General features: G+C 44.4%; 1 protein-coding gene across 53 annotated transcripts in view, besides 2 other annotated features; it reads left to right on the top strand.

Annotated features, from left to right (window-relative positions):
* The window catches only part of STIL (STIL centriolar assembly protein), a 64,758-nt gene continuing 58,149 nt past the window's right edge, over positions 2,199-8,807 (top strand). For 12 of the 53 annotated variants that reach the window (XM_047428440.1, XM_011541998.3, XM_047428432.1 and 9 more), the window contains exons 1-2: positions 2,948-3,059; positions 6,733-6,819. In XM_047428440.1, coding sequence (XP_047284396.1) covers positions 6,776-6,819 — 44 coding nt within the window. In that variant the 5' untranslated portion in view covers positions 2,948-3,059; positions 6,733-6,775. Of the gene's footprint in view, positions 2,294-2,531; positions 3,060-3,148; positions 4,148-6,732; positions 6,820-8,807 lie in introns of those variants that run through there. The other 41 variants (XM_047428444.1, XM_047428392.1, XM_047428377.1 and 38 more) reach the window with 10 other exon arrangements.
* Positions 2,209-2,938: an enhancer, noted in NCBI's record as "OCT4-NANOG-H3K27ac-H3K4me1 hESC enhancer chr1:47779829-47780558 (GRCh37/hg19 assembly coordinates)". NCBI's record gives its function as "activates a minimal SCP1, AML or CMV promoter by ChIP-STARR-seq in naive H9 embryonic stem cells {active_cell/tissue: H9 hESC(naive)}" and the evidence as "EXISTENCE:reporter gene assay evidence [ECO:0000049][PMID:30033119]".
* Positions 2,842-2,891: a silencer, noted in NCBI's record as "silent region_853". NCBI's record gives its function as "represses an Ori minimal core promoter by ATAC-STARR-seq in GM12878 lymphoblastoid cells {active_cell/tissue: GM12878}" and the evidence as "EXISTENCE:reporter gene assay evidence [ECO:0000049][PMID:35858748]".

The following is an 8,807-nucleotide window of genomic DNA, read 5'->3' as shown; positions in this document are numbered from 1 at the left end:
TGGTTCCAGGAACCCCAGGGATACCAAATTTGGCCCACAGATACTCAAGTCTTTTATATAAAATGGCATAGTATTTGCATATAACCAATGTACAGTCATCCTTATACTTTAAATCATCTTAAAACAAAAATTAATTGGGGATGGTGGCATATGCCTGTAGTCTCAGTTTCTAGGGAGGCTGAAGTGGAGGATCACTTCAGCCAGAAGTTGAGTCTGTGGTGACAGAGTGAGACCCTGTCTCAAAAAAAAAAAAATCATCTCTAGACTACTCATAATAACTAATTGTATAATACCTAACACATTGTATAATACCTAATACAGTGTACATGCTATGTAAAAAGTAGTTATAGGTTTTTGTTTTTTTTTTTGAGATGGAGTTTCACTCTTGTCACCCATGTTGGAGTGCAATAGCGTGATCTCGGGGCTCACCGCAACCTACACCTCCCGGGTTCAAGCGATTCTCCTGCCTCAGTCTCCCTAGTAGCTGGGATTACAGGCATGTGCCACCACACCTGGCTAATTTTGTATTTTTAGTAGAGACGGGGTTTCTCCATGTTGGTCAGGCTGGTCTTGAATTCCTGACCTCAGGTGATCCACCCGCCTCGGCCTCCCAAAGTGCTGGGATTACAGTCATGAGCCACCATACCCGGTCAAATTGGTTATAGTTTTAAATTAAATTATTTGAGAGATAGGGTCTTGCTCTGTCATCCAGGCTGGAGTGCAGTGGTACAATCATAGCTCACTGCAGCCTCAAACTCCTGGGCTCAAGCAATCCTCCCACCTAAGCCTTCCCAGTAGCTAGGGCTACAGGCCTGTACTACCACACCCCACTAATTCTTAAATTTTCTGTAGAGACAGGGTGCTGCTATATTGCCCAGGCTGGTCTTGAACTCTTGGCCTCAAGCGATCCTCCCATCTCGGCCTTGCAAAGTGTTGGGATTACAGGCAGGAGCTACCGCACCCAACATGTGTGTCTTATTTGTATTATTATTTTTGAGGCAGGGTCTTGATCTGTCACCCAGTCTGGAGTGCAATGGCACAATCTCAGTTCACTGCAACCTCTGCCTCCCCGGCTCAAGCCGTCCTCCCACCTCAGCCTCCCAAGTAGTAGGACTACAGGCACATGACACCATGCCTGGCAATTTTTTTGTATTTTTTGTAGAGATGGGGTTTTGCCATGTTGCCCAGACTGGATTTGTATTATTTTTATTGTTGTTATTTTGTTTTTTTCCCCTCCGAATATTTCCATTTGCGGTTGGCTGAATCTGTGAATATGGAACCCACTGATAGAGGGCTGACTGTATATAAATACATAAAATATCAATACTATATATAATATCAATGCTAGTTGTAGAGATAGGCATATATGGTTTATAAATTTAAGTCACATTCTTTTCTTCTACTCAACAGGAATTTAAAATTTTTATGTTACTTTGCTGGGGGCGGTGGCTCACTTCTGTAATCCCAGCAGTTTCGGAGGCCGAGGTGGGCAGATCACTTGAGGTCAGGAGTTCCAGATCAGCCCAGTGCCCAACATGGTGAAACCTGGTCTCTACTAAAAATACAAAAACTAGCCGGCCGTGGTGGTGCTTGTCTGTAACCCCAGCTACTCCGGAGGCTGAGGCAGGAGAATTGCTTGAACCTGGAAGGCAGTGTGCAGTGAGTTGCAGTGAGCCGAGATAGCGTCACAGCACTCCAGCCTGGGCGACAGAGCAAGACCCTGTCTCAATCAATCAATCAATCAATCAATTAATAAATACAAATTTTGGCCCAGAGTGGTGGCTCACGCCTGTAATCCCAGCACTTTGGGAGGCCGAGGCGGGTAGATCACCTGAGGTCAAGAGTTCGAGACCAGCCTAGCCAACGTGGTGAAACCCCGTCTCTACTAAAAAATACAAAAATTAGGCCGGGCGCAGTGGCTCACGCCTGTAATCCCAGCACTTTGGGAGGCCGAGGTGGACGGATCACGAGGTCAGGAGATCGAGACCATCCTGGCTAACACGGTGAAACCCCGTCTCTACTAAAAATACAAAAAATTAGCCGGGCGTGGTGGGCGCCTGTAGTTCCAGCTACTCGGGAGGCTGAGGCAGGAGACTGGCATGAACCCAGGAGGCGGAGCTTGCAGTGAGCCGAGATCGCGCCACTGCACTCCAGCCTGGGCGACAGAGCGAGACTCCGTTTCAAAAAAAAAAAAAATTAGCCGGGCGTGGTGGTGGGTGGTGGACGCCTGTAATACCAGCTAATTGGGAAGCTGAGACAGGAGAATCGCTTGAACTCGGGAGGCGAGGTTGCGGTGAGCCGATATCGCGTCATCGCACTCCAGCTTGGGCGACGGAGTGAGATTCCACCTCAAAAAAAAAAAAAATTATGTCACTAAAACAGATGGCTTCCTAGGAAAGAAACTGGAAGAAATCTAGAAGTTGAGGATAAGTGATCACAAAAAGGAAAAATTAAAAATGTACATTTTAGAATAAAAATTAAAAAGTAAGAAACTGGAATAACTCTAACTTTCTTGTCTTTTGTGCTTTCAGGTAAAGAGTTTGGAAACTGTTCTTCGGGTGTCCGCTTCCAGTCGCCGACCAATGATCATCTTATAGAGCACTTCCGGCTTCATCTGCCACTCGCTCCTCCGTCTACCTAGCTGGGCTTTCCATTGCGCTTGCGGAAAGCCTACCCCGCCCCGGAACTTAACCGTTGACGAAATGAAAGGTTTAAATCCTCGGATCCTTGATCCTGGAGCGCCGGTGGCGCCCGCAGTTCTCCAAGAAGACTTGGGATTGGTCGAGCGCGGAACCAGTGCGGGGCGCTGATTGGTCGGCACACCAATACGTAACGGCGACCGTGCGCGGCTCTCTAGCACCACCCCCGCTCCCTGACTGGCGAGGTTTCTGACCAGTCAGCAGGCGTGGCGCGGCCTTCAGTTTCGCGAGCTTGTGTTTGCCGCCTCAGTTCCCGCGACCCCAACGTCCCAGAGGCGGGGCCGGAGTCGGCGGTGGCGCTCCTTGGAGCCGGCTCCCGCTCCTACCCTGCAAACAGACCTCAGCTCCGCGGAAGTTGCGGTAAGTGGAGCTTTGTGCTCCTGGTTTCCCCTTGAGAGGCGGCAGCGGGGCCCTGGGAAGGTTGGTGGGTAACATTCAAAGCCCTGTAGTGGGTTCCGCCCTCCAGGAGCCTGGAGCAGATGACGAGAAGGGGAGCTAGTGGGAGAAATTAAGCAGTCCATGAAATCCTTGGGTATCATCTGAGCTAAGGTATGTGAAAGAGGTTTGCAGTCGATAACGTGCCATTTAAAGTTGTTTTTACGGTGGGAATTTCTTGAGGACTGAAACCTTGAATGCTCGCTCTTGCATTCCTCACAATTTCTGGCTCACACTCTGCTACGTAGTAAGGGATCAGTTAATGTTTGAAGTTCATGGACTACTGGAAGTAAAGTGTAAACAGCAAAGTGCGAGAATGCTATGCGTGTGAGTACAGACAGTATAGTACCATCGCCACGGTGTCTGGGAGAAGGTTTCACAGAGGAAGTGACATTCGAGTTGGATTGTGAGGGATGGCGGGGGTTTACTAGGGCATTCCAAGTTAAGGGAGGCATCCTGTGCAGATATTGAAACCGGGGCACTGCAAGTAGTTCAGTTTGACTGGAATGTAGGATGAGTGGATGGGGGGGTTAAGGTTGGAATAATAGAGTGGGGCTGGATTGTGAAGATCCTTTATTCTGTATGTAAAGAAGAGCCATCGGCTTTTTAAAAAAAATTTATTTTTATGTTTATTTTTGAGACGCAGTTTCACTCTTTGGCCCAGGCTGGAGTGAAGTGGAGTGATCTCGGCTCACTGCAACCTCCGTCCCCCGGGTTCAAGCGATTCTCCTGCCTCAGCCTCCCTAGTAGCTGGGATTACAGGCAAACGCCACCACGCTCGGCTGATTTTTGTATTTTTAGTAGAGACGGGGTTTCACCATGTTGGTCGGGCTGGTCTGGAAATCCTGACTTCAGGTGATCCACCCGCCTCGGCCTCCCAAAATGCTGGGATTACAAGCGTGAGCCACCGCCCCTGACATGAGCCATTGACTTTTAAAGCAGGAGAATAATTTGATCAGATTTATATGGAAACACTCTTCTAGCAGCATTATGGGGACTTTTCCATAAGTCTGGTGAGTTGATGAAGTTAGCAACTAAGGTGGTGGGTATGGAAAGATAATTTATATGGAAGAAGGGGTGAGGATGATTTGAACGTTTCTATTGTACACGATAATGACTTTACCTGAGAATATGTTTTGCTAGGTGTAGATGTTGTGTGGTTTTAGTTTTATTACCTTTAGTGGCTTGTACAACACTGACAGAATGAAAGTACCTTATGTATATTGTTTTAAAATAAGAAATCAACATTATCCATCTTTTCACCCAAATGAATAAAGGAATAAAACACAAATAGCGCATTTTAAGACACTTCTGTTTAATGAAGAAAAAATTGGCACTTTTTATACTTTGTAGAGTTACAGTTATCCATGTGAATACTGTTATCCATGACAACCAAGTACTAAGGAAGGGTTTTAGGATTTAAAGCCTGCATTCTGTGGAAGCTGCATTAAACCTTTTAAGTCCAGATATTTCTAAGAAGGACTGTTTAGTCACCTTTTTTTTTTTTTGAGACGGAGTCTCGCTCTGTTGCCCAGGCTGGAGGGCAGTGACGAAATCTCCACTCGCTGCAAGCTCCGCCTCCCGGGTTCACTACAGGTGCCCGCCACCACACCCCACTAATTTTTTGTATTTTTAGTAGAGACGGGGTTTCATCGTGTTAGCCAGGATGGTCTCGATCTCCTGACCTCGTGATCCACCCACCTCGGCCTCCCAAAGTGCTGGGATTACAGGCGTGAGCTACCGTGTCCGGCCTAGTCAATTTTATTAGAAGCACGTTTTTCTCTGTCTTGAACAAGGTATAAGAGCATTTTCAATAGGATTTTCAGCCTCTGACTTTATCTAAAAAGTCTCTTCTAAATAATCTCTGCATCTGGATTAATAATCCTTTTCTCCTTTATCTTGCTTCACACAGAGTGAGACAGAGGCTCATTCTCTTGCCCAGGCTGGAGTGCAGTGGGATGATATCAGCTCACTGCAACCTCCCCTCCCAGGTTCAAGTGATTCTCCTGTCCCAGCCTCCTGACTAGCTGGGATTACAGGTGTGCACCACCATGCCCAGCTAATTTTTGTATTTTTAGTAGAGACGGGGTTTCACCATGTTGACCCGGCTGGTCTCGAACTCCTCACCTCAGGTGATCCACCCACCTCGGCCTCCCAAAGTGGTGGGATTACAGGAATGAGCTCCCACACCTGGCCTTAGACAGTTTCTTTTTCCTAGAATTGATACAGAATGTGCAGGACCTAAGGAACTCTAAGGCTTGAAAGAATATAGGACATACTGAACTCTAAAGAAAGGACTACGAGGTCTGTGTTTAGCTTCAATAATACTTAGATGGAACTGTCCAGTGGGCAGTTAGAAATATGGATTTGAAACATCTGGGCATGGTGGCTCATGCCTGTAATCCCAGCACTTTTTGAGGCAAAGGCTGATGGATTGCTTTAATCCAAGAGTTCGAGACCAGCCTGGGCAACGTGATGAAACCCCATCTCTACAAAAAATCCAAAAAAATTAGCCGGGTGCAGTGGTGAATGCCTGTGGTCCCAGCTATTCAGGAGGCTGAGGTGGGAGGATCACCTGAGCTCAGGTGGTGGAGGTTGCAGTGAGCTGAGATTGCACCACTGTACTACTTCAGCCTGGGCTACAGAGTGAGACCCTGTTTCAAAAAAAAAAAAAAAAGAAAAAAAGAAAAGAAAATGGATTTGAAACTCAGAAGAGAGGTGGAGCTAAAGGTTTGCTATAGATAAGTAGGTGTAGAAGCAATGGGAGTGGAGGATAGTACCCAGAGAGAGCATGTGGAGTTAAAAAAGAATACTGGGCTGGGCATGGTGGCTCACACCTGTAATCCTAGCACTTTGGGAGGCCAAGGTGGGCGGATCACGAGGTCAAGAGATTGAGACCATCCTGGCCAACATGGTGAAACCCCGTCTCTACTAAAAATACAAAAATTAGCTGGGCATGGTGGTGCGCACCTGCAGTCTCAGCTACTCAGGAGGCTGAGGCAGGAGAATCGCTTGAACCCAGGAGGCGGAGGTGCAGTGAGCTGAGATCGCACTGCTGCACTCCAGCCTAGCAACAGAACAAGACTCCATCTCAAAAAAAAAGAACACTGATTTTTCACTGACACAAGTCAGTTTGTGGGAATGCATGCAGTACTGTTTTTTTTCCAATGAAGATTCTTTAATGACTTCATTATAGGCCCCAAATAAATATCTAGCCCAAATCATTTTTTTCTGCTGCTTCATGGTTTTATGAGGGTTGTAAGGTTTTTGGTCAAAATCTCATACATTTGATACTACCTGCCTTACCGAGCTCACTAAGTTGATACAAAGGTTTTGGGGCAGAATCCGAGCTTTCCTTAAGGGATAGATATATTGGTAGATTTTGCTGCCTAGAATAAATATTAACAGTAATTTATTGGCAGAATGACTCTAACGTATGAAAATGATTGGCAGAATCTACAAGCATTTAATCTTATTAATCTATAGTCACACTTCATATAAGTAATCTAATTTTGCCTGTAATTTTAATATGTGGTTAAATCATATTTTTCTTCTTTGTTTTTATCATTCATTAGTAATATTCTCTTTAATTCTTTAGGATACTGAGGATTTGGAATTAAAGAAATCATTCACCAGACATCATGGAGCCTATATATCCTTTTGCACGGCCCCAGATGAATACCAGGTATAGAAGTATATTTACAAATATTTGTCTTACAGCTTTTCACATAACTTGGGAAGGTAGGTTGGAAGAGAAAAAAGAATATAATCTTTAGAATCAGGAAATTCTGGGTTCATATCCTAGCTCTACCACTTGTTAGGTGGGTGACCGTGATCAAGTTAATTAACTAAGCCTCAGTTCTTCATCTGTAAAATGAGGATGGTAATCTCTGTCTCACAGAAGATTATTGTGTGGGGTTGAATAAGATTACTAAACTAAAGGGTCTAGTATGTAATAGGCACTCAGTAAATACTAGTTCCGTCCCTCCTTCAATTATTTTCGTAATATAGATCTTTATTGATGGGAAATAGTACCTGAACTTAGGAGGCTAAAAATTATATCGGTGTTTGTTTACTTTCTAGACAAGTGGGAAATTGGTTGGGTTCCTTCCCTCTTACAAATACTGATTCCTTGATGGGAATAATTTCACATTAGGTATACCAAGTTTCCTCAGATGTTCCTAAGCCTTTGTCAAGTGAAGTAGGAGCTTGCCACCTGTCTTCCATTTTTCTCAGTCTGTTACTATGGGGACTGGGCAAATCAGCTTGTATTATTTGGCTCTTTGGATCATTTATTGCTCTTTTTTCCCCTAGGGAACGACAGTTAATGCTGACATGTGAATTTTTTTTTCTTCCAAACCAGAATTGCATTCATGGGTCGCCTTTATTCTCTGTAATGTCTTTCTTTGTGCCAGATGTTCTTGATGAAGATAGTGGGAAACATGACCCAAGGAGGCTATCGTATTCCTTTTGCTTTAATTTTGGCCCTTGTGTTCTACCCCCCTGCCATCTCTTATTTGAAAATTTGTCGGTGGGCAAGGTGGCTTATGCCTGTAATCCTAGCACTTTGGGAGGCTGAGGTGGGCAGATCGCTTGAGCTCAGGAGTTCAAAATCAGCCTGGGCAACATGGGGAAACCCCATGTTGACAGAAAAATTTTGTCTTCTATTCTTAGAAGGGTACAGTTGTGTAACAAGTTCAGTGTATTCTGTTTTTAATTAAAAAAATTTAAATTTTTGTGGGTACATGGTGTATGTATTTATGGGGTATATGACATATTTTTATAAGGCATGCAATGTGTAATAATCACATATGGGAAATAGGGTATCCATCCCCTTAAGCATTTATCTTTTGTGTTAGAGACAATCCAACTGTACACTTTTAATTATTATTATTTTTTTTTTTTTTTGGAGACAGAGTCTCACTTTGTCACTTATGCTGGAGGGCAGTGGCGCCATCTCGGCTCACTGCAATCTTTGCTTCCTGGGTTCAAGTGATTCTCGTGTCTCAGCCACTCGAGTAGCTGGGATTACAGGCGTGCGCCACCATGCCCAGCTAACTTGTATTTTTAGTAGAGACGGGGTTTCACCATGTTGGCCAGGCTGGTCTTGAAATCCTGACCTCAAGTGATCTGCCCACCTCAGCCTCCCAAAGTGCTAGGATTATAGGTGTGAGCCACTGTGCCCAGCCTAATTATTTTTAAATGTTATTATTTATTACTTTTAAGTTGTTATTGACTATAGTCACCCTGCTGTGCTATCAAATAATAGGTCTTAATCATTCTTTCTGGTTTTTTTTTTTTAAACCCATTAACTGTGTCTACCTCTCACCCAACCCCTACTACTCTTCCCAGCCTCTGGTAACCATCCTTCTACTCTCTGTGTCCATGAGTTCCATTGTTTTGATTTTTAGATCCCACAAATAAGCGAAAACGTGAAGTTTGTATTTCTGCTCCTGGCTTATTTCACTTAACATGGTGATCTCCAGTTCTAACCATGTTGTTGCAAATGACAGGAATTTATTCTTTTTTTTTTCCATTTTCTTTTTCTTTTTTCTTTTTTTTTGTTTTTTGAGACAGTATCGGGGGACCTGCCCCGATAATCACGTAGGTTCTTTTCTGTTTTCCTAAGCGTCCGCTGCCTTGAGAAATAAAAGGACAGAGTACAAAAGAGAG

The sequence above is a fragment of the Homo sapiens genome, chromosome 1 (genome assembly GCF_000001405.40).
Source record: "Homo sapiens chromosome 1, GRCh38.p14 Primary Assembly".
Classification (NCBI taxonomy): Eukaryota; Metazoa; Chordata; class Mammalia; order Primates; family Hominidae; genus Homo; species Homo sapiens.
The sequence above is the reverse complement of the archived record's forward strand: the minus strand, read 5'-3'. Positions and strand labels throughout refer to the sequence as shown.